At 39.4% G+C, this 26,556-nt stretch overlaps 1 long non-coding RNA gene across 1 annotated transcript in view; it reads left to right on the forward strand.

Annotated features, from left to right (window-relative positions):
- The window catches only part of LINC02261 (long intergenic non-protein coding RNA 2261), a 64,747-nt gene that overhangs the window by 11,853 nt on the left and 26,338 nt on the right, over window positions 1–26,556 (forward strand). The window contains exon 3 of the long non-coding RNA NR_125921.1: window positions 2,033–2,190. This is a non-coding gene — a long non-coding RNA (long intergenic non-protein coding RNA 2261). The remainder of the gene's footprint in view (window positions 1–2,032; window positions 2,191–26,556) is intronic.

A 26,556-nucleotide genomic window follows, 5' to 3' on the forward strand; every position in this document is an offset into this window, starting at 1 on the left:
CAATAAACATACATGTGCATGTGTCTTTATAGCAGCATGATTTATAATCCTTTGGGTATATACCCAGTAATGGGATGGCTGGGTCAAATGGTATTTCCAGCTCTAGATCCTTGAAGAATCACCACACTGACTTCCACAGTGGTTGAACTAGTTTACAGTCCCACCAACAGTGTAAAAGTGTTCCTATTTCTCCACATCCTCTCCAGCACCTGTTGTTTCCTGACATTTTAATGATCACCATTCTAACTGGTGTGAGATGGTGTCTCATTGTGGTTTTGATTTGCATTTCTCTGATTGCCAGTGATGATGAGCATTTTTTCATGTGTCTTTTGGCTGCATAAATGTCTTCTTTTGAGAAGTATCTGTTCATATCTTTGCCGACTTTTTGATGGGGTTGTTTGTTTTTTTCTTGTAAATTTGTTTGAGTTCATTGTAGATTCTGGATATTAGCCCTTTGTCAGATGAGTAGATTGCAAAAATTTTCTCCCATTCTGTAGGTTGCCTGTTCACTCTGATGGTAGTTTCTTTTGCTGTGCAGAAGCTCTTTTGTTTAATTAGATCCCGTTTGTCAATTTTGTCTTTTGTTGCCATTGCTTTTGGTGTTTTAGACATGAAGTTCTTGCCCATGCCTATGTCCTGAATGGTATTGCCTAGGTTTTCTTCTAGGGTTTTTATGGTTGCAGGTCTAACATTTAAGTCTTTAATCCATCTTGAATTAATTTTTGTATAAGGTGTAAGGAAGGGATCCAGTTTCAGCTTTCTACATATGGATAGCCAGTTTTCCCAGCACCATTTATTAAATAGGGAATCCTTTCCCCATTTCTTGTTTTTCTCAGGTTTGTCAATGATCAGACAGTTGTAGATATGCGGCATTATTTCTGAGGGCTCTGTTCTGTTCCGTTGGTCTATATCTCTGTTTTGGTACCAGTAGCATGCTGTTTTGGTTACTGTAGCCTTATAGTATAGTTTGAAGTCAGGTAGCGTGATGCCTCCAGCTTTGTTCTTTTGGCTTAGGATTGACTTGGCAATGCAGGCTCTTTTTTGGTTCCATATGAACTTTAAAGTGGTTTTTTCCAATTCTGTGAGGAAAGTCATTGGTAGCTTGATGGGGATGGCATTGAATCTATAAATTACCTTGGGCAGTATGGCCATTTTCACATTGATTCTTCCTACCCATGAGCATGGAATGTTCTTCCATTTGTTTCTATCCTCTTTTATTTCATTGAGCAGTGGGTTGTAGTTCTCCTTGAAGAGGTCCTTCACGTCCCTTGTAAGTTGGATTCCTAGGTATTTTATTCTCTTTGAATCAATTGTGAATGGGAGTTCACTCATGATTTGGCTCTCTGTTTGTCTGTTATTGGTGTATAAGAATGCTTGTGATTTTTGCACACTGATTTTGTATCCTGAGACTTTGCTGAAGTTGCTTATCAGCTTAAGGAGATTTTGGGCTGAGACGATGGGGTTTTCTAGATATACAATCATGTCATCTGCAAACAGGGACAATTTGACTTCCTCTTTTCCTAATTGAATACCCTTTATTTCCTTCTCCTGCCTGATTGCTGTGGCCAGAACTTCCAACACTATGTTGAATAGGAGTGGTGAGAAAGGGCATCCCTGTCTTGTGCCAGTTTTCAAAGGGAATGCTTCCAGTTTTTGCCCATTCAGTATGATATTGGCTGTGGGTTTGTCATAAATAGCTCTTATTATTTTGAGATACGTCCCATCAATACCTAATTTATTGAGAGTTTTTAGCATGAAGTGTTGTTGAATTTTGTCAAAGGCCTTTTCTGCATCTATTGAGATAATCATATGGTTTTTGTCATTGGTTCTGTTTATATGCTGGATTACGTTTATTGATTTGTGTATGTTGAACCAGCCTTGCATCCCAGGGATGAAGCCCACTTGATCATGGTGGATAAGCTTTTTGATGTACTGCTGGATTCGATTTGCCAGTATATTATTGAGGATTTTTGCATCGATGTTCATCAGGAATATTGGTCTAAAAATCTCTTTTTTTGTGTGTCTCTGCCAGGCTTTGGTATCAGGATGATGCTGGCCTCATAAAATGAGTTAGAGAGGATTCCCTCTTTTTCTATTGATTGGAATAGTTTCAGAAGGAATGGTACCAGCTCCTCCTTGTACCTCTGGTAGAATTCAGCTGTGAATCCATCTTGTCCTGGACTATTTTTGGTTGGTAAGCTATTAATTATTGCCTCAATTTCAGAACCTGTTATTTGTCTATTCAGAGATTCAACTTCTTCCTGGTTTAGTCTTGGGAGGGTGTATGTGTCGAGGAATTTATCCATTTCTTCTAGATTTTCTAGTTTATTTGCATAGAGGTGTTTATAGTATTCTCTGATGGTAGTTTATATTTCTGGTGGTGATATCCCCTTTATCATTTTTTATTGCGTCTATTTGATTCTTCTCTCTTTTCTTCTTTATTAGTCTTGCTAGCGGTCTATCAATTTTGTTGATCTTTTCAAAAAACCAACTCCTGAATTCATTGATTTTTTGAAGGGTTTTTTGTGTCTCTACTTCCTTCAGTTCTTCTCTGATCTTAGTTATTTCTTGCCTTCTGCTAGCTTTTGAACGTGTTTGCTTTTTCTTCTCTAGTTCTTTTAATTGTGATGTTAGGGTGTCAATTTTAGATCTTTTCTGCTTTCTCTTGTGGGCATTTAGTGCTATAAATTTCCCTCTACACACTGCTTTGAATGTGTCCCAGAGATTCTGATATGTTGTGTATTTGTTCTCGTTGATTTCAAAGAACATCTTTATTTCTGCCTTCATTTTGTTATGTACCCAGTAGTCATTCAGGAGCAGGTTGTTCAGTTTCCATGTAGTTGAGCCGTTTTGAGTGAATTTCTTAATCCTGAGTTCTAGTTTGGTTGCACTGTGGTCTGAGAGACAGTTTATTATAATTTCTGTTCTTTTACATTTGCTAAGGAGTGCTTTACTTCCAACTATGTGGTCAGTTTTGGAATAAGTGTGGTGTGGTGCTGAGAAGAATGTATATTCTGTTGATTTGGGGTGGAGTTATGAGACAGACTTTCACTCTTTGTTGCCCAGACTGGAGTGCAGTGGCTTGAGCTCAGCTCACTGCAGCCTTCTTTTGTCAGGTTCAAGCAGTTCTCCTATCTCAGCCTCCCAAGTAGCTGGGATTACTGGTGCCCTCCACCACACCTGGCTAATTTTTGTATTTTTAGTAGAGACGGGGTTTCACCATGTTGGCCAGGCTGGCCTCGAACTCCTGACCTCAGGTGATCCACCTGCCTTGGCCTCCCAAAGTGCTGGGATTACAGGTGTGAGCCACCACGCCCGGCCCATTCTGGATAAATTTCTATTGTGGAATTTTGAATGGAGGTGGGGAAGTGGGAGATCAGCCCATCTTGGTCACTCAGAGATCCACTGTCTTGAATGTTGTCAGAAACTGACACAGTTAAATGAAATGCAACAGGATCTCATACTGGCTCAGAAATGACATAAGATGTGTTTGCTCACAACACATTGGCCAAAATTAGCTATGTGGTCCCATAAATCATAAATGGCCAGGAAGATGGAAAGCCAGAAATATTTGGTGAATAGCATTCATAATTTCCTTCTTTCTTGACTTGGACAGTGGGTCTACAACTAAAATCTGAAGACTAGGAGGCTGTGATCTGGCAATTACCTTGAGAAAAGCTGAAACAATTAGCATAAGCAAAGAAAAAGAGATGCAACAGAGAAAATATTGAGCATATTTCTAGAGGAGCTTAAATTTCCTGCATTTCTCTTTCCTCAATATGATTAACATGAAATTCTATAGGCTACTCTTTGATAATGTGATTCACTTCAGTGATTACAATTAAAAACTGTAGTGTTTTATGTATTTTGAAAGACACCTCTATTCCTCTGCCCACCAGCAGGGTTATACAATGTTTTATCCGTTTATTTCCAACAGAAGCCAGATGTTTACCATGCTGGTAATGTTCTGCAAATATGTCTTGCTGCTTCAAAATGTTATCATGCAGTATTATTATAGTTCCTATTGTAGAACCATCCTCCTATGGCTCATTTTAAGTTTTGTCTCTTCTGAATTCTCTATAGGGAGTTTTGTTTTAAAACGAATCTTCCCAGTTAACAAGGACTGGGTTAAAGTGAGAAATGTAATGACCGTTCTATTGTAAGGTAAAACAGTCTTACAAATATCTGAACCAGTAGGCCAATCTAATTAATTAATCTAATCTAATTACTTAATTGGAGTAGCCAAAAGCAGTATGCAGAGATTAGGACACAAAAGTGGTCTAACTGTGTAGCAGCTGGATCCGAGGTTTGCCAGCGAGCTCTAGTAGGATTCCAGATGTTCCTGTCCAATCCCAGGATGAGAAATGTCAACTGATGTCAACCCTGCCAAAAGATGTTATTTCTTTAGTGCTGGAATATCTCCCATCCATTAGCCTCCAATGAAAGCGATGAGTGATTCTCATTTGCCATTTTTTTTTTCCCTTTCAGGAATGATCCTGAGAAAGCAAAACACACCAACAGCAGGTAGCAAATAAAATAAAAACTGCTTAGCTTGATGCCAAGTAAATTCTATTTTCTTTGCATTCTGGTCAACATAAAATGCAATATTAATGGATAAATTAAAAAGCTTGTATGACTTCAGAGAGGATCACTGGAGTACTAGTCATAAATGGCTAGAGGTTTTAAAAGAGTAAGGATTTGAAGCTTGCAAGATCAGCCAGATATAGCAGAAAGGTCATGGGTATTTGGATGAGACATGTAGTACTTTCAGCCATATATCATTAGTTCAAAAGTTTCTTATGAGCTCCAGACCCTCGTTATGAGTAATTGTCCCACAGATAGTACACATTCAACATATCCTAAGTGGAACTCATGTTTCCCTTTAACCTTTGTCTCCCCTTCCTCCCACTCTTTCTCTTCCTACTGTGGTGGTTGTGGGAGTAAGAACACTGAAACCAATGTGGGCAATAATCTTGATTTTGTCTTGCCATCAAATCCAATCAGACTCTATGGCATACACTCACAGCTACCTACCCAATATCCATTCTTCCTTTCTTTCCTACTCAGAACACTGATTTTGTTTAAGTGCAGTAATATACTCCAATAAAAATACTCACCCCTTGAGACTCTAGGGGTGATCATATAACCCGCTATCGGCCAGTGGGATAAGAGTGGAAGTCTCTTAGAACTTTTGGGAATCCTATCTTTTTCCTGATATTAAATAACAGGCTAAGTTGGCTCAAAGTTTTTGCCTTCCTCTTTCTCATTTCCTTTCCTGAACGCAGAAACAATGCCTGCAGAAACAATGCCTGCAGATAGAACATACGTTTTTCAACCATGAAGATAAGAGCCACATGCTTTAGATGATAGAGCAGGAAGCTAGGAAGAACCTAACCTTTGACGGCTTCCTTGAGTGGACACAGATTCTTGGACAGTCTATACCCAGACTTTTGTAATGTAAGAAAACTAAAACTTATTTGGTTGAGCCATTGCAGTGGATTTCTATTACATGAAACCAAATGCAATTTGCTATGGTTCGAATATTGGTCTGCTTCAAAACTCTTGTTAAAATGCAATCCCCAATATTGGCAGTATTGAGAGTTATGTTTGTTAAGAGGTGATTGGGTCATGAAGGCTCAGCCTTCATGAATGAATTAATTAATTCATGAATTCATGTCATGGGAGTGGAACTGGTGGCTTTATAAGAAGATGAAGAAAAATCTGAGCTAGCACACTCAGTTCCCTTGTTGTGTGATGTCCTGTACCAATTTGGGACTTGGCAGACTAGCAAGAAGGTCCTCACCAGATGAATTCCCTTAACCTTGGGCTTCCCAGCCTTCAGAACTGTAAGAAATAAATTTCATTTCTTCATTACCCAGTTTTAGGTATTCTGTTATAAACAACAAAAAATGAACTGAAACACAACCCTAACTACACAACCCCCATGTTTGTTGTCTTTACCTATGCAATATCTCTCAGACCTCTCTGCTTCTCTCCATCCCCACTGTCTTTTCTCTGGTTTAGATCATTATCCCCTTTTTCCAGAGTTTACTGCAATAGCCTCCTAGTTATGCTTTCTGCCATCAGTACTGTTCTTTTTCTGGATTGTCCTTAATGTGGCCAGAGTGTTCAAAAATTCAATATTAATCTTTTATGCCTTGCTTAGAGCAGTTCAGTGTTTCCTCATGACTTTGTACGTAAACCTGAACTCTTCCTCATGACTTACAGGGCCCTGTACACCTTCCTAACCTCATCTCTTGTCACTCTCTGCCTTGAACTCTGTACTCAAGCCATGTTTAACTTCCAATTCCTTAAATACATCATATTCTTTCTGTTTTTGGATTTTTGCAAATGCAAGTCCTTACTGTATAATCTTCTGATTGGCTAACTCCTACTTATTCTATAGGCCTCAGTAGTTGGATACACAGGGGAATACTCATTTAATGAGATGGAAAAGACTCAAGAAAGAAGCATTTGGTTTTAAATGTATTAAGTTTGGAATATTGATTAATGATCAAAGTTGAGATGTCCAGGATACAGTTCAATACAGGAGTTGGAAGCTGAGAGGAAAAGTCACAGCTGGAGATACACCTTCAGGAGTCAACAACATCAAGATTGTATTTGAAAACATGGAAAGAATGAGAGCAGTTGGTGAAGGAATAGAGATAAGCAGGGTGCAGGACCAAGCAACACTTGGTGGTCTAGGGAATGGGGAGCTGTCAAAGGACAGTCTTTAGTCTACTACATTGTAGTTTTTGTTGTTTGTTTCTTTTTACCAATATGTAGAGCTGGACTCCAAGCTCCATGAAAGTAGTGTCCCTACCTGTTTGATTTACCATTTTATCCTTGGTGTCCAGCAAAATGCCTGCTATATAGTAGCCATTCAGTGTAACTTTCTTCAAGGAAATAATAGACATGAATTCAACTCCTGCCTACATTATTAACTGGAGAACCTGTGCACCTTGTTTCTTATTTCTGTAAGAAGACTAAATAAAATAGTTTTTAAGATTTGTTTCAGTTCTAAAATCCTGATTTTAGAGTGCCTGTGTTCTATACCCAGCAAGCCAACATCCCAGATTTCTGCATCTATCCTGTGATTTGGGATTAGTAAATGTATCCACTGGTAACTTAGAAAGTGAAACGTTTTGATGTGGCTTCTGATATATCATTTTTCCTCTAGGCTACCAGTGTCCTCTTCTCTAAAGTGAGGGATTTTGACTGCAGCGCCCCTACAGCCCCTCATAGCTTAAAAATTCTGCATTCCATTGTAGGGGAGGCTAAAAATCGCACTACCTTAGTTCTTATGTGAGATCTTTGGCTGTGTCTAGGAACTAGATTGATGCAACACAGACTGACCAGAGAAAAGCATACAGGCTTTATCAATTTCACATGTACATGGGGATCTTTACAAGAGAGCAACATCTGAAGGAATAGCCAAAGCAAGATGCTTTTATACTTTGTATACAAATAGTGATACATTCATGAAGAAATGACAGGACAAAGGGATCTCTAGGCTAGGAGCAGTAAATTCTAAGGGTATCACTAGGAGATATATTGGGGGTGTAAAGCTAGTGGAAGATAAGGGTTACTTCAGGGAGTTTATTCAGGCCCACAGCAGCAACAATATCCTCTCTGGTGATCAGAGGTTATTTTTTCACCCTGGTATGGGGAAAGGCACCCCTCCCAAAGGAATTCTTATGGCTTGCTGTAGGAAATGGCAGATCAGATAGCTTTTTCTGCAAGTACACTTTCTCCAATATTTTCTGCATGAAATAATCAATATACAAAGCAGTCATATTTTGGGATGGCATGTGTATTAATCTGTTCTCATGCTGCTAATAAAGATATGCCCGAGACCGGGTAATATATAAAGGAAAGAGGTTTAATTGACTCACAGTTCCCCATGGCTGGGAAGGCCTCACAATCATGGTGGAGGGCGAAAGGAGAGCAAGACACATCTTACATGGTGGCAGGCAAGGCAAGAGAGCTTTTGCAGGGGAACTCCCCTTTTTATAAAACCATCAGATCTTATGTGACTTATTTACTTTCATGAGAACAGCACAGGAAAAGCCCATCCTCAAGATTCAATTACCTCCCACCAGGTTCCTCCCATGACTTGTGGGAATTATGGTGGGAGCTGCAATTCAAGATGAGATTTAGGTGGAGACACAGCCAAACCATATCAGCATGTCCCTAGCTCCTTCACCATATATATTGGAAAGAATATTAATAAGAGCTAACTTGGATTTTCTACCTTTTGTGGGCTTCATACTTTCCCAAGTCATTTCTTGGAAATAATTTCTTTGAATTATCCTCTTATTATGGGCTTCATTGTATCTCCCCCACAATCTGTATGTTGAAGCTCTAACCCCCAGTACATCAGAATGTGACTGGACTTGGAGATAAGGCCTTGTCTTAGACCATTTTTTAATTGCTTATGTCAGAATATATAAGACTAATTTATTTTTAAAAAGAAATTTATTTCTTATAGTTATGGAGGGTGGGAAGTCCCAGGTTGAGGGACTACATCTGGCAAGGGCCTTCTTGCTGGTGAGGACACTCTGCAGAGTCCCAAGGCAGCTCAGGGCATCACATGGAAGGGACTGAGTGTGCTGGCTCAGGTCTCTCTTCCTCTTCTTATAAAGCCACCAGTCCCACTTTCATGATAATCCATTGATCCATTAACCCATTAATCCATTAATCCATGAATAGATTAATCCATTTATGAGGGTATAGCCCTCATGATTACCTCTTAAAGGACCCACCTCTCCACACTGCCATGTTGGAAACGAAATTTCAACAATGAGTCTTGTGGGGCACAAATATTCAACCTGTCACAGGTCCTTAAAGAGGCAATTTAGTTAAAATAAAGTTATTGGGGTGAATCCTAATCTAATATGACTGGTGTCTTTATAAGAAGAGATTAAGAAAGACAAAATAAGAAAATGAGAGAGAAAGGATGAGAGCAAGAGAATGAGAGAGAGAGAGAGACCAGGCATGTGCACACACAAATCACTATGTGAACACATAAGTGAGAAGGCAACTGTGTGAAAGCCAGTGAGAGAGGCCTCAAAGAAATTAAACCTTCTAGCACCTTGATCTTGGACTTCCAGCCTCCAGAACTTTGAGGAAATACATTTCTGTTGTTTAAGCCACCCAATCTGTGACATTTTGTTATGTCAGCTCTAGCAAACTCATACACCACTTAATACATGTAAAAATCTTGTGAGTTTGATATTCTTTTCCTAACCACATTTACAGGTGAGGACACAGAGTTTAGTGAGGTGAAGTGATACAGTTAGCTCATGGTCTTAACCACTACACTCTAATTGAAGCAATGCAAGTGGAAGTGAAGTAAGAAAACCAAGCTTGTAAGCCAATAATAATGAACACCTGTTGAATATTTGGTAGGCATAATTGTATGCAATTTTTATGTATGAATTTATTCTTCATAACGCTAGTTGTTAGCTATTGCTGACTAACAAATTATCACATAAATCATAAATCATCAAACAGTTGCTTAAAACCACAAACATTTATTATCTCACAGGTTTTATGAGTAAAAAAATCTGGTGACATCTTGGCTGGGTACCTCTTACTCTGAGCCTCTCATAAAACCATATTCAAGATCTCAGATGGAGGTGTAGTCCTTGCAGGGCCCTTGCAGGGCTCACACTGTGGTTGTTGGCAGGATTTAGTTTCTTACAAATGATTGGACTGAGGGTTCAGGTCATCACTGGGTGTTGGCCAGAGGCCTCCCTCAGTTCCTTGCCATGTGTACCTCTCCATTGGACATCTCTCAACGTGGAAGCTGGCTTTCATCAGAGCAAGCAAGAGACAACAGAATGGAAGAGCAAGACAGACGTTTCAGTCTTCGTGTAACCCAATCTCAGAAGTGACATCCCCTTGATTTTGCCATATTTCATTGATGAGAAGCACGTCATTAGGTCCAGCCTATACTTAAGTGGAGGTGAATACAGGACATGTATATCAGGAGGTTGGCGAACTGGTTGTCTACTATGGATGAGCGAAGCTGAAGCACAGAAACGTCAAACAACGTGCTCAAAGTCACACAGCCAGTAAATGGCAAATGACAGCTAGTCAACTCTGCGTCCTGTGTTCTTCCGCTTTATGCTACAATGCTTCGCTATGCATAATACATCAAATGCTATCAGCAAATATTGGAAAAAAACCTTTGGAGTAGTGGTAATGGACCAAATCCAGAGTTGCCCTGTACTATTGCAAAATCAGTTATTGTGTTGGGGGCTGAAGGGGGAGCAGTCTGTAGCAGCAGTCAGCCACCCTCTTTTGTAAAGGGCCGTATAGTATTTAAAGCATTGTCCATATGGTTTCTGTGTCCAACTATTCAACTCTGCTGCTGTAGCTCGAAAGCAGACATAGATAGTAGTTAAATCAATGGGTGTGGTTGTGTTTCAGTGAAATTTTACTTACAAAAGCAGGCTGCAGGCTGGATTTGCCTGCAGACTACAGTGTGCCAACTCCTGGTCTGAATCACCGTGGGCACATAGATGTGCCAAGGAATTCTTAATGTTGTTAAAGCTAGGATGACTTGCTGTATTGAGATCTCAGGAGTCACTGAACCAAAGAATGCAGCAGAAACCATTTCAAAGCAATAGAAGCAAAGAAGGTTGATGTATTATTCCTTGGTCCCTATTCCCCTCAAGACACCCCTAGCGTGCATTTAGCCTTTGCCACTCTATGCGCCTTGAACAACTTGTTTCAATTTGAGGGAAGGAATGCTTCCTTGAATTTTCTTTTAGGCTTTCATCCTATTGTATTCTGGTTAGTTCTTTCTTTGCCCAATGCCTGAGTCCTTTTCCCTTCTTATCAAGCTCCTTGCCCTAGGTCTGGCATTTTTCAGGTTGTTAACATCTTTGCATTATACCCAAGGTTTCTCTTGTAGTTCCCATTATGTTCCCTTAGGTGGAAAGGATCAAATTTCCCTGGGAGTTTCCTAAGTTTCCTAACTCCTGAAGAGGAATGCTCGAAAACTCTAGGTGACACCTTGGGCAGAGGCATATCATAGAACTTACCTAAAATTAAGAGTGAGCCCTGGACCCTAGTGAGTTCTAATTTTGAAAGATGTCTCTATCAAACAGACAGGATATAGGAAGCAAGGGATGGAGTGGTTTGCCTCATTTGGGGAGCAAACTCAATCAATATTGTGAAAATGGCCATACTGCCCAAGGTAATTTATAGATTCAATGCCATCCCCATCAAGCTACCAATGAATTTCTTCACAGAATTGGAAAAAACTACTTTAAAGTTGATATGGAACCAAAAAAGAGCCCGCATCGCCAAGTCAATCCTAAGCCAAAAGAACAAAGCTAGAGACATCACGCTACCTGACTTCAAACTATACTTCAAGGCTACAGTAACCAAAACAGCATGGTACTGGCACCAAAACAGAGATATAGATCAGTGGAACAGAACAGAGCCCTCAGAAATAACGCCGCTTATCTACAACTATCTGATCTTTGACAAACCTGAGAAAAACAAGCAATGGGGAAAGGAGTCCCTATTTAATAAATGGTGCTGGGAAAACTGGCTATCCATACATAGAAAGCTGAAACTGGATCCCTTCCTTACACCTTATACAAAAATTAACTCAAGATGGATTAAAGACGTAATGTTAGACCTAAAACCATAAAAACCCTAGAAGAAAACCTAGGCAATACCATTCAGGACATAGGCATGGGCAAGGACTTCATGTCTAAAACACCAAAAGCAATGGCAACAAAAGCCAAAATTGACAAATGGAATCTAATTAAACTAAAGAGCTTCTGCACAGCAAAAGAAACTACCAACAGAGTGAATAGGCAACCTACAAAATGGGAGAAAATTTTCACAACCTACTCATCTGACAAAGGGCTAATATCCAGAATCTACAATGAACTCAAACAAATTTACAAGAAAAAAACAAACAACCCCATCAAAAAGAGGGCAAAGGACATGAACAGACACTTCTCAAAAGAAGACATTTATGCAGCCAAGAAACACATGAAAAAATGCTCACCATCACTGGCCATCAGAGAAATGCAAATCAAAACCACAATGAGATACCATCTCACACCAGTTAGAATGGCAATTATTAAAAACTCAGGAAACAACAGGTGCTGGAGAGGATGTGGAGAAATAGGAACACTTTTACACTATTGGTGGGACTGTAAACTAGTTCAACCATTGTGGAAGTCAGTGTGGTGATTCTTCAAGGATCTAGAACTGGAAATACCATTTGACCCAGCCATCCCATTACTGGATATATACCCAAAGGACTATAAATCATGATGCTATAAAGACACATGCACACGTATGTTTATTGTGGCACTATACACAATAGCAAAGACTTGGAACCAACCCAAATGTCCAACAATGATAGACTGGATTAAGAAAATGTGGCACATATACACCATGGAATACTATGCAGCCATAAAAAAGGATGAGTTCATGTCCTTTGTAGGGACATGGATGAAATTGTAAATCATCATTCTCAGCAAACTATCGCAAGGACAAAAAATCAAACACCGCACGTTCTCTCTCATAGGTGGGAATTGAACAATGAGAACACATGGACACAGGAAGGGGAACATCACACTCTGGGGACTGTTGTGGGGTGCGGGGATGGGGGAGGGTTAGCATTAGGAGATATACCTAATGCTAAATGACGAGTTAATGGGTGCAGCACACCAGCATGGCACATGTATACATATGTAACTAACCTGCACATTGTGCACATGTACCCTAAAACTTAAGTATAATAATAAAAAAAAAAGAATGTGAAGTTTCATAAAACCAAGCCCACTGGGTGACAATATGTAACCTCACAAATGGTCCCCGATAAACTTTTAAAATGTAATCTAAAAAGTTAACTACTTATGTCAGGGTTTCATCACATAGCAAACCAGTAATTCTACTTTTAGTGTGTTTTCTTTCTCACAGGAAAAAATTATCTGCTAGGAAAAAAATATTTGCAGCCACTGCCTTAGTCTTTATATTCTGAGTCATTATATATATAATATTTAATTTATATTAAATATATAATATTTAATATATATTAAATATTATATAACAATTTATATTAAATATTATATAATATTTAATATACTTTACATATTAAAGCTGCTGGTAGCAGCTTTGGTGGTGATATGATCAACAGTTCCCTAGCTATTTGCCTAGGGCATTGTTAGTCTTTTATACTTATTTATTTTTTTTATTTTGTGCCTTGGATCTCCTAACACTTAATAATATAATTTACTTTGATTACACTGCAGATGGGCCTCTCTCGGACTCAGCTTTAAAAATTAATGCATTTAATTTTAGTAGAAGTGTGCAACAAGACAGCAGGTGACACAGCTAAGTGAGAGAAGGGTTCCTAATTACACTTCTAAATCAAACTGTGCTCCGAGTGCCCTTCTGGGGTTAAGTACTGCAGAAATCTAGGGCAATTGTTGATTGCTGACTCAGTTTTCCCAAGCTGTAAAATGGGGAGGGGAGTATATTTTTATTCAAGACATCCAGAATCCAAATATTTAAAATTTATATTCACTACTCTTCCTAAAGCATAGTGTTTAGGGATGCTTAGCAATGAATGACTCCCTTTTTTCCCCTGTAGGCAGTTTTCTGAATTCCACTCAGCATCACCTGCTGTTTTATTACACATTTTCTCATAATTGCTTTTGTGTAATCAGGTTTTGTAGGATAAATAAAAAAATGACTAGTCATATTTCAAGATATGGAATCCAGGGAGCACCTCAGCATTATTTTAAGATTATTTAAAAATGGATTAATTGCATCCTTTTCTTCCTTCTCATAACAATATTTTCTCATTAGGCTGGATTTATTTATCACATTGCTTTTCGTGTTGTAGTTTTTGCCATGTGAATGAATTATAGACTTTTTCAGAGAGACTTTTAAATGACTAGGTGACGATTTCTTCGCTGTGCCATTTGTAAGTGTCACAGTGATGAAGAAAGCAGCTTTTTAATTTTTTTTCTGCATAAGAAATTAAGATATACTTTTGGGAAGGGTGTGGATCATGTTTCAAGGAGCAGGGTCCAATTACTAAATTTCAAGAAGGAAAATGTTTAATTGAGATGAAGCCTTGATATATTTTGACGGAGATGGCATTTTGGAGGCAGTTGACTTTGTTGATTAACATGTTTTAAAATGTTTTGGCACTTGGCTGGAAGTAGGATCTTTTAAGTCTGGAGTTCTAGGCAAGAAAATAAACATGAATGAATTCAGAGATGAACATGAGTTTACCGTAAGAATACTTAACTAAGCACCAGCCTGACTAATGGGGTGAAATCCCATCTCTACTAAAAATACAAAATGAGCTGGGCGTGCTGTCTCATGTCTGTAATCCCAGCTACTGGGGAGGCTGAGGCAGGAGAATTGCTTGAACCTGGGAGGTGGAGGTTGCAATGAGCTGAGATCGTACCAAATGAACTCCAGCCTGGGTGACAGAGTGAGACTCCGTCTCAACAAACACACAAACAAACAAAGTGAAATGTTTTTGCTTAAAAATCCCAAAGCAGGCTCTTGATTTTAAAAGGGGTCCTGATAAGTAATTAGCATTCTATTGTAGGGAATTGAAAATAGAGACAGAGATCATATCGAATTTTCTAAATAGAAACCCTAAGAGTGGTGGAAATGGAAATTCACAAAAGAAGATAATGGATTTCAAAAACACTTGAGGTTCACTATGACCCAGAAGAGATGATGGGGGTTGAAAAGGTATGAAAAGAGGATTCATTAGAGACTTGTTCCCCAGAGTATAGTCCATGAACTGGCAGACACCATTGACATTACCTGGAGCTTGCTAGAAATGCACAGTCTTGGGCCTCACCAGAGACCAAACACATTTTAACAAGATTCTTTTGTGATGTATGTGCACATTCAGGTTTGAGAAGCACTGTTTTTGAGTAAGACACTGAAAATATTTTTTCTTTACCAATAATGCTTTAGTATTTATGGTTATATTTCCTTCACCATGTGTGGAGCCACACTATTTGATTCTACATTGAATAATACTTGCATAAGCACCCAAATGCAAACGCTGTTTTATAATTTTGAGTTGCTGCATAGATGCATGTATAGGCAGAATCTGCTGCACTTGAGGTTAGAGTTACGAAACAGAATGTAAAGGTCATATACATTGACTACTTAACAACAACAAAATGGGGGGTGAGAAGGGAAAGAAAGATAAGGAAAAGGATAAGTAAAGGAAGTAATTTTCTTCTCTTTAATAACAAGTTGTCAATACTGGTTAAAGTTGAAAATTCAAGAAATGGAGTTTGTCATATTCCAAGTTATAAAAATCTAATAATATAATCAACACAAATTGGTGGTTGAGGCAGGAAGGGAAGGTAGAAGGCAGTGTTAATGAACCAAATTATTTATCCTTCACAGCAAAGAGCTAATAGGTGCTGTCCAGGGTTCATAAATCATGAAATAAAGGCAGGAGCATGTAGCAAATATGAATCATATTTCAAAAATCCAGGTATGTGAGAAATGTTACATTTCTTTATTGCTTCAAGTCCAGTTAAATCAAATGACAATCTTTTCCCTGATAATTTGGCAAGAACTAAATTATAGTTGGGATTAGGGATTCCCCCGCAACCTGTACTCATGTAGTTTAAGATTCCGCAACTTGAATAAACGGGAGGGTTCCTTTACATTGGAACTTCATTTTCTTCATCAGTCTGGTAGTGATGCTACTGCTTGTCCCACCCATTTCCCAGAGTTACTATGAATTTAAATCCAATTAAATTTATAGAACATTTACTTAGCACTTAACAACAAGTAGCTATCAAAATAAAGAGACACAAATAACTACTACAAGTTTCTATTTACATGGAGCATAAACTCTAGTAGGCAGAGTAGAAAGACATGTACAAAAACACATGAGTCTCTGTATGTAAAAGAATTTGGAAAACTGTGAAGTATACCACAAGACTTGGGAACAACGATGAGGCATTATTAATTTTCCCTAACATCATCATCTTGCTCCAGACTCTCTAGTTGTTAAGGAGATAGAAATATATTCTTAGTCATGGGTCCTTGTAAATCTCTTAGTTTATCATCAGGAGTAAAAACATTGCTGCAACACTGGCTGCTCCTAAAATGAACAAATGTGCAGGAATGAATTTCTCTTTAGGCTAAAGGGAAGAAATGTGTTGCTCACATTTTCAAAATCCATGTGTTGATTCCCCAGTTCCTGGTCCTACATGTAAGGGTGGGGACTTGGTGTAGGGAAGGGATGAGTAGGTGGAACACAGATGGTTTTTAGGGCAGAGTAACTATTTTGTATGATACTACAGTGGTGGAAGCATGTCATTATACATTTGTCAAAAACTCTTACAATGTACAACATCAAGAGTGGACATTAATGTAAACTACAGACTTTGGGTGCTAGTGATGTGTCAATGGAGGTTCATCAATTGTAAACATGTGTATCATTCTCATGTGAGATGTTCATCGTGGGTAGGCTGTGTGTGTGTGTGTAGGGACAGAGGGTATATGAAAATGATCTATACTTCTTTTATAATTTTGCTGTGAACCTAAAATTTCCTTTAAAACGTTATAATTTAAAAAGTATGTTATAAAATTGTCCTCTCTTGTCAGTTTCTAACACTGAAAGCGTCAGAGACTATAAAAAAGGCACTTTTTTTTTGAGATAGTCTCTCTCATTTCCCAGGCTGGATTGCAGTGGCAAGATCATGGCTCACTGCAGCCTCACACTCCTGGGCTCAAGGGATCCTCCCAACTCAGCCTCCTGAGTAGCGGGGACTACAGGTGTGCACCACAATGGCCAGCAAATACTTGTATTTTTTGTAGAGTCCGGGTTTTATCATGTTGCTTAGGCTGGTCGAATTCCTGAGCTCAAGCAATCCTCCTGTCTTGGTCTCCTAAAGTGCCGGGATTACTGGTGTAAGCCACCATGTCAGGCCAAAGACTAATCCTTTAAAAAAGGATCTTAAGGCTGGGCATGGTGGCTCACACCTCTAATCCCAGCACTTTGGAAGGCCGAGGTGGGCAGACCACCTGAGGTCAGGAGTTAGGAGACCAGCCTGGGCAACATGGTGAAAGCCCATCTCTATTTTTTTTAAAATTTTTATTTTTTTGAGACAAAGTTTTGCTCTTGTTGTCCAGGCTGCAGTGCAATGGTGCAATCTCGGTTCACTGCAACCTCTGCCTCCCAGGTTCAAGTGATTCTCCTGTCTCAGCTTCCCAAGTAGCTGGGATTACAGGTATGCGCCACCACACCTGGCTAATTTTGTATTTTTAGTAGACACAGGGTTTCATCATGCTGGTCAGGCCTGTCTCAAACTCCTGACCTCAAGTGAACCACCTGTCTCAGCCTCCCAAAGTGCTGAGATTACAGGCGTGGACCACCGCACCCAGCCCCGCCTCTACTGAAAATACAAAAATTAGCCAGGTGTGCTAGCACATGACTGTAGTCCCAGCTACTTGGGAAGCTGAGGCAGAAGAATCACTTGAACCCAGGAGGTGAAGGTTGCAGTGAGTGGAAATTGTGCCATTGCACTCCAGCCTGGGTGACACAATGAGATTTGGTCTCAAAAATAAATAAATAAGTAAATAAAAAGGGTCTTAACTTTGCCTTCAGGTTAGTATCAACTGACCACATTTATTTATTTATTTAACATGTTAGGCCTGAATAGATCTCCACACCTCATTGAATTTCACCCAGAGATGGGGCCTTGAGTGCAAGATGACACTACTGGAAAAGTAATATAGGGTTGGACAGTGAAGGGCCTTGTGTGGACGTTGAGCAATGTTCACTTTATTTTCCTGGCATTGAGGACGTGTGGAAGGTTTGGAGATAGAAAAGCACATTAGTTAGGGAAGATGCAAAATCCCATCCCAGATTAGATTCTGAGATTATTGGCTTAAATGTTATTGTGTTGACTTTTTGTCATTTTACACATCTAGGTGGGCATCTTGTTCTATGTGATCATTGAGAATCTCAGCTCTTTCTAAGTCATTCCTTTTTCATCCCCTGAGCATTGTCTTCTGTATACTCAAAGCTACATCCCTGCCACTGCATCCTGGGTTCCAGCCAAGAGGAAGGGGACAGAAAATATAGGAAAGTGTGTCTGTTGTCTGAAATCCTCAACACAGAAGGGACACGTGTCGCTGTTACTCACTTTCCTTTGACAATAAGGCAGTCTTGTGGCCATGTCTAACTTCCGTCTGACTAGAGAGCCAAGATTTGGTGAAAACTTCATTATTAGGGATGATTTTGGTGAACACAATAGGGTAATGATTAGATAGATGTCTAAGAAAGGAAGTTCTGACTCTTAATTTTCTACAACATCTAGCATAGAACTGTCTATGTGGTAGGCATTTCATTAAAAATTGCTGGCTCATTTATTGAATAATAGATTGATATACCCAGGGTGAGGCTTGAGGGCATCTCCTGTACATACAGTGGCATGTGAAGATCTGCTAGTGGAACCAGCCCAACAATGCCTTCTTCAACACAATAGAGGAAAACTGGTTATTGAAGGTCCATTCTGCTCTGTTAGGTTCATGTCTGGGAAGTCTACAGCCTCCATAAGACAACAGGGAATGATATGAGACCCCAAATCAGGAGGTTGGGAAATGATCCAATGTGCCACTCTACCTATTGCCAGGAAGGGGCTGACAACAGTTGCTATATTGCATTTCTACCACCACAGTTTGTAGAGAGGGATTTTATGTGGAAGTCAAAATACGTTTTAATTAATGCTTTTTTGTCTTCCTTTACTCTTTCCAATGGTGAAGAAAATGAATAGCGGTGGTGAGAGAAGCAGGCTCGAATGGGCAGTATTTTATCACAGACATTGTTTAGAACAGCTCTCCAATGATAATATTATAAAGCTGACTAACTTTGTGCCAGTTTTTAAAATCATTATTTTAAAATTCACTACAGATAAGGCACCACCCTGCTGCTTACACTGGAGTGGGCTGCTCCCAACTCCCCACTCCTTGGTGTGCTATTTATTTTCTTCTTCCTTTGTTTTTCTTTTCCCATCCTTCTCCCTTTTCCGTAAAACTCTCAAAAATATGTGTCTGTTCTCACTGTTTCCCACTTCTCTCTTCCCATTCTCTCCCAAAGTCCCTTTAGTCAGACTTTTGCTCCAACCACTTTATTAAATTAGCTGTTGTCAAGGTCACCTGTGACCTCAGAATTGCTAGATCCAATTGTCGATTCTTAGCTCTTGTCTTACTGGACATATCAACAGCATTTATTACCCTTGCTCACTTCTTCCTTCTAGAAACCCTTGCTTCCCTTGACTTCCAGGGCACCATCGTCCCTTGGTTTTTCTCCTTTCTGGTGTCTCTCTCTTTCTCTCACTCTTTTTTCATCTCTCTCTCTCTCTGACCTTTATTTCCTACTATTGGAGAGCCCCAGGGCTCAGTCCTTGGTCCTCTTCTCTTCTCCATCTGCACTCACTGCCTGAGTGATCTCATCCAGTTTCATAGCTTTAAATATCACATACAAATTGGTGACTCCCACGTTTATATCTCTTAGCCAGACATCTCCATTCTATTTCAGAGTCTTGCATCCAACACCACCATTTACATCTCCATGGAATAGATGCTTTGAACATGAGTGTCCCCAGCTGACTCCTCATCTCTCTCTACAATTGCTCCATTGGCAGTTTTCCCATCTAAGTTAATGGTAACTCTAGTTGCTCAGGCCAACAGTATAAAGAATTATACATGACTTCTTTTTTCCACTCTCACATCCAGCCTATTGGGAAATTCTAGAGGCTCATTTTCAAAAATACACCAACACATGACAATTATTAGCAGTTGCACTGCCATTTCCTAGGCTCAAACCAATGTCGTCTTTCACCTGAATTGTTCCTCAGCTTCCTAAATAATCTCTCAGACCCCACCCATTTATCCTACCTCATGTCTATTCTCAACACAGAAGCCAAAGTGTAGAAGTGAGACCATGTTAATCATCTTCCCAAAACTTTCCCTTGGCTCCTTTTAAACTCAGTAGAATTGCCCAAGCTCCACAACCTGCACCTCCACCATGGCCTTCCCAGTGTGATTTCCTGAGTCTTCTCCCTCTGTCATCGTCTTGGCCACACTCTCTTTCTGCTGTCCCTAAAGTGCTCCAGGCATAGGCCTTGCTCAGGGCACTTGCACTGTCTGTCTTTGTTGACACTGATTATCATCCCCCAGATACCTGCATGACTTACTCCCTCAACTTTGCAAGACTTTGTAGAGGCATAATTTCAATGAGGCCTCTCATTACTATGCTCTATGAAACCGCAGCAGTCTGTAGCATTTTCCGCCCACCTCACTCTTTTTTGTATCCAAAGCAGTTATCACTTTCTAATGACTTTTCTAATCATCACTTTTTTTTCAGATGAACATATTTTTCCCCTTTGTTTTATTAATGTGGTAAATTCCACAGATGGATTTTTGAATACATACAAAGTCAGAAAAGAAAAAAATAATGGCACAATCTTTGTTTGTTTTTCTTTCCCACGTATAGATTTATCTTAATTCTGTAGGATTTAACGGTATGAACATAATGTACTATATACTTAGTAATCTTTTACATTATTGACCATCCTTTCCCCACTAGAATATAAGCTCTGTGAGGGTAGGGATTCTTGACTCTGTATCCACAATGCCTAGACAGTGCCTAGCATATGGTAGGAGCTCAGTAAATACTTGTCGAATGAATAAATGAGGGTTCTTCTTCCTGTCCTCTTGATAGTTCATCTTCTTTCCCCATTCCTTGCTTAACTATAACTTTTGGCAAGTTTTCTCTTCGAATACTTTTGAAGTATTCAAATACTTCGAATACTTCAAATACTACTCACCATCCATTCATCTATCCCTCTCTACAATACATACTTAGTGAAAGCATTAGGCTGTTCTTGCATTGCTGTATAGAGGAATACCTGAGAATAGGTCCTTTATAAAGAAAGGAGGTTTCATTGGCTCTCCGTTCTGCAGGCTGTGCAGGAAGCATGTTGCTGGCATCTGCTTGGCTTCTGGGGAGGCCTCAGGAAGCTTACAATCATGGTGGAAGGCAAAGGGGACCCAGGGGAAGCAGGCACATTGCATAGCAGGAGTGGGAGCAAAAGAAAGAGAGGGGGAAGTGCCATACACTTTGAAACAACCAGAATTTTTTAGAACCCATTCAGTAACATGGGGACAGCACCAAGCCATGAGGGATCCACCCCTATGAAACAAACACCTCCCACCAGGACCCACATCCAACATTGGGATTACATTTCAACATGAGATTTGGGTGGGGACAAATATCCAAACTATATCACTGAACATATTCTTTGTTCCCCAAACTGTGCTAAAAATCTAAAGTGAGTAAGAAACAGTTTCTTTCCTCAAGCTCACTCTTCTGTGGATGCCTACAGACATCTTGGAATTAGGTTTGGCCTCTAATGAGTTTCCATGTCAAATGACGGACTGAATCCCCCATTTCCTTATAACTTTCTGGAAGCCATTGTAACTACTTGGGTGGGCAATAGCTCTCAGCTGTTGGGTTGGGAAGAAAGGCTGAGAACCACTTGCCTGTAATGATGGAAGCTGTAAGTGATGCTTCTTCAGGAAGTGTGTGATCTGCTGATTTGGAGCCTCATGTTTGTCATTTGTCACCTTGGTCTGGATGGGACAGATGACAAGGGCTCCCTTACCTTTTTGTTTAGGCCAAGTAGTCACATGTGTACCCCTGGTGAATGTGGAGCTTTTGGGGAGCAACATGAAGAGGCTCTCGTTTGTCCCAAGAAGACTGCACTGTTCCCTGAGCCTCTAGTGCTGTTGAGTTGATGAATTCCACCTTGGCTGAGGACTCTTCTGCTCATGACTCGGCTTCCTAGTCCTCCCTTGTCACCTGCCCAGCTCTGATTCAACCCTGGAGGCTAAAGGGCCTAAAACATGTAAATGGAATGGGAAGCTTGTGCAGGGGCAATCAGTCTCCCCACTCCTTTATCAGAACTTCCCACCCCAAAACTATCTCTTTATTTGTAGGAAATGGAATGCAGGCTTAGGGATAAAATAAGCCCAGGATTGCATGGCAGCCTTATCATTTTCTAGCTGTTTGGGTTTGAGCAAGTCAATTTGCTCACTTTGAGCCTCAGTTTCTCCCTCTGTAAAATGGTGATAATAACAACTGCTTTACTGGATTGCTGAGAGGATTAAACGATGTAATGTTTGTACAACACTTGCTTCAGGGCCTGACATATAATGATCAGAAACTATATGATGGTTATTATTATTATTTAAGGACTTTTATTTTCACATATGTGAAAAGTTGTGTTTGCTGTGCTGGTTGTCAGTTGTTTTTAGACAGAGTCTCAGAGGAACAAGATTTGAAAATATTATTATTGGCACAACACAAAACAAAACAAAACAGAAAAACAACAAACCATTTCAACAGGCTCCCAGGCAGATGCTGATACTCAATCATTGTGGCTACAAAAAAGAAAGACAGGGGCTTTTTTTGCCTTGTGGTGCGGGAGTGTTTGACATGCTTCAAATAGCCTCCTGTAATAGGGGAGCAGAAGGCCACCCCCTATCAGGGCAGGAAGTTTCTCTCATCTGACGAAGGAAAAGAATGTGCTTCTTGGCCTCTGTTCTCCTCATGCTATCTTTGTACTCCCTAGATGCCTTCAACTGCTTTGCACAGCTAGGGACAGGTTCTGGGCACCTGCTCTGTTTACAATACCAGCTCCAAAAATGAGCCCAGATATCTGATTACAGGCCAATGTCTGCAAAAACAGCCTTTTCTTTTTCCCCACTGTGAAGCTAGATTTCTGGGGTTGAGTAAGGAGTATCACAGTTCTTGTAGCAGAGGGACAACTCTGTCCTTATTGTGCCTTTCCACAACTGATATTCCTAGGGTAGTCCCTAGGAGTCCTATGCCCTGGCCTCAGGGTCAAGGAGGAGGAGGGTCTTGTGGACCCTGTCTTCCATTCCCCTCACTAATTCCCTGCACCCCTCCTCTTCTGTCACCAGAATCTTCCACTCTACTTTGCAGCAACATTGGCTTTGAAATGATGTGGTTGTTTTCCAGAAAGTTCACTAGTCCTTCCAGAACTTTTTTTCTTGTTTTATTCAGACTAAAACATTGTTAAATGCAGTGTGATATAGAAGAATGCTTCTTATAGCAACATGCTTTGGCTTTGGCTCAAATTTCAGCTGTATTACTTTCTAGCTGTGTTTCCTTGGGCAAGACACTCAATGTTTCAGAGATCCAGTGTTCCCTTCAGATAAGAAAGGATGATAATATATACCTTCAGGGTTGTTTAAGAATGAAATAAGCTGGGGTTTGAAAGATCTCAAGAACTATTAGTTACTCTTGGTTATTTCTCTAAGACTTTCTGTAAACTAAACTCCTTAGACAAAGAGGAAAGACAGGTAGGTTAGAATAGTGACAGCAGGAAAGTGAGTACAGAATCGAGATAGGCATTGTATTTGTTTACTAGATCTGCTGTAACAAAGTACCACAAACTGAATGCCTTAAGACAATGGAAATTTATAGTCTTACAATTCTGGAGGCTAGAAGTTCAAGATCAAGGTGTTAGCAGGGCCATGCTGTCTCTGGTCGCTTTGGGGAGAACCTTTCCTTGCCTTTTCTAGATGTTTGCTGATAATTTTTGGTGTCCCTCAGCTTGTAGATATATCTATCCTTGTCTTTTCTAGCTGGTATTTTCTGACAGTTCTTAAGGTTTCTTAGGTGGTAGATACATCACTGAAATCACATAGCCATCTTCTCCCTATGTGTCTAAATATCATCTTCTCTCTGTGCTTGTCTGTCTCTGTGTATAAATTTCCCTCCTTTTTAAAGGGCACCAGTCATATTATATTAGGACCTACCAGAATGGCCTCATTATAACTCAATCATCTGCAAAGATCTATTTCCAAATAAGGTCACATTTATAGGTGCTTGGTGTTAGGGCTTTAACATATTTTTGGGGGGACAAAATTTAACTAATAACAAGCATTAATACATTATTGTATTTTATATCTTTTTTTTTGCTAAGTAATGCAATCTTTTTTTTCGTTTACTCTATTTTTCTTGGCAGTGGTTCTTACTTGTTTCTTCTAAGAGATGAAGAGATTCACCCCCTAATTAGGCTATTCTACCCATGTTTCCTAGAATCTATCTATCCATTATCTATCTATCTATCTATCTATCTATCTATCTATCTATCTATCTATATATCTATGTATCTATCTTCTATCTACCATCTATATAGATACGTAACTTTTCTTTTCATATGGAACTTTCATTTTCTTCACTGGTGATAGATATATGTGTGGACTCTATAAAAGATTACATGTATTAGACTCTTTGCTTATTGGATGTTGAAAAGACACCAGAAGTAATAACAGTAGTTAATTTCACAGGAGGAAAACATACTTTCTTTAAATAAAGTAATAACAGTAGTTAATTTCACAGGAGGAAAACATACTTTCTTTAAATAGTGAAAGAGCCTTTTCATTTAAAATATTTGTTTAGTGAAAGAAACAGCTCTATCAGTTAAAACAATGTCTTCTGTGAGAGAATCATTCAGCAACATTTCCTGCTCCAGACAATCGCGCTGGTATATACACAGCAAATCATTTCAATTTACCAACTGTTCTGAAATTATCTGACCAAGCAGAAAGCATTAATTCGAATCCTGTTACAAATGGACATTGAAATAGGGTCATGAACCTTGGAGGAGATGAGGAAGAATCATCTTCTCTCTGATTTGGAATGGTCACGTTTATCATTGTTCAGTGTTTTTCCTCTTTTTATTTGTAATTAATGGCACACTGCAGTTCAGGTCTGCTGGTCTTAATCTACAAACTAGGCCATTAGCAGCACCAGTCTGCATGATGGCATACCAATTAAAATTAGGAGATTAAAGAATAATGTTCCTTGCCTGGGACCAGTTCGCATACCAATGACAATTTCCCTGGCTGTTGAATGAGGAAAGACTTAAATGACAATGAACTTGGTATCATTACATTTAGGGGACATTAAATGGGTAAGGGGAGATGGGAGGGTAAAGGGTGAGTATGTTAGGGTACTGGGAATTAAAAGACAGAGACAGAAGTTTTTTTTGTATTTATTTTACTATTTGCCTGTTTATTTTTTACTTTCCACAAATATAGAAATTCTATCTAAATTAAAAGTGGTTCCTATTGAGGGAAAAGATAGTCAAATTCTGTATTTCTCCATTCCCAAAAGATCTTAGAGTTTTTTTTTTTCTTTTTCTTCTGTAAAATAAGAAAAGGATATCTAGCCTTGTATTACAGCCAGTGTTGGAGAGATGGTACAATAAATAAGTTCAGGATTCAATCTTAGAATTTTTAGAAGATGTCTAAAGAAGGGTTCTGAAACAAGAAATGGAAATTCACGGAATTTAGCTGAAAAATAGAAAATATATTGTAGGCTTAGCCCATATAAATCTAGAGGCCCTCATGTCCTATGTCTCAGTACCCAGCCATTTTCATACCAGCATAGTCCAGCTTCCAAAATATATTAAATAAGAATATTATTTTCTTGGGTCCTCTGAAGAACATTAAAAATAACCTAATTCACAAACCACAGTAATACTTGCACAGATCTCCTACCTGTTTCTCTTGATCCCTAGACCTTTCCAGAGTCTCATTCAACAAGCTACCTCTAGAACTTTTCTGACAGTCAATGCTCCCCCAGTTTTATTTTTCTATTTTGGTACATGTTCTCTGGCTTTTTAAAACCTTTCTGATTCAGGCAAGAATTCTTCCCAGTTTCCTCCCATTTTGCCAGCACTTTACCTAGAACCTCCAACTTAAAGGAAAACTGGCCTGCAAAAATAAAGTTCATCTAAGTATGGATAAAGGGAGACCATTGGCAGAGGCTAATGAGGATAAAGGGGAAGGTTAAGAGCATCCATACACCGATAATTTTTGTCCCTGATGCTCTTGGGTCATTCCCCAAGCAACTGGAAGGATGTCAGAAACTCACCACTTCTATCTTTCTTGTTCTTGAGCCACGTCGTTTATCATTCATGATGTAGATCTGCTTGATTTTTCTCTGACTGAAGCTATTCATCGGCTTGCATATGGCTCTTAAAAATAGACCACCTCAAAATGGCAGCCTCAGTTCCTGTGTTTTTATGATCTTCTAACTGGCATTGCTTTAATTAAGTGATTTCCAGGAGATAATTCCTAGGAGAAAGAATCTAATGGCTCAATTTGTTTCAGACATTTACTTCATGTCCAATAAACTATGGCCAAAGAGTTTCGGATCATGCTGCTTGTGCATTAGGAGATGATAGTGCTTGAGGGCTTGTCAAGGTGGAGGGGAGTCGGGGAAGGGGAAGAGAGTAAATAATGTGGCATATTCAGTCCAGAAGATGTACTTAAACTTCTATAAAGTGTTGTTGTTATTTCAAACTCAACTCGTTTTGCACATCAGTCCATTAGGCTTTGTACTGAGTCCTGATTGTGTAACTGAGTGCCTTTGGACACTATTACCTGGTTTCCCTGGAGTTGACTTAA

Source organism: Homo sapiens, chromosome 4, assembly GCF_000001405.40.
Source record: "Homo sapiens chromosome 4, GRCh38.p14 Primary Assembly".
Lineage (NCBI taxonomy): Eukaryota > Metazoa > Chordata > Mammalia > Primates > Hominidae > Homo > Homo sapiens.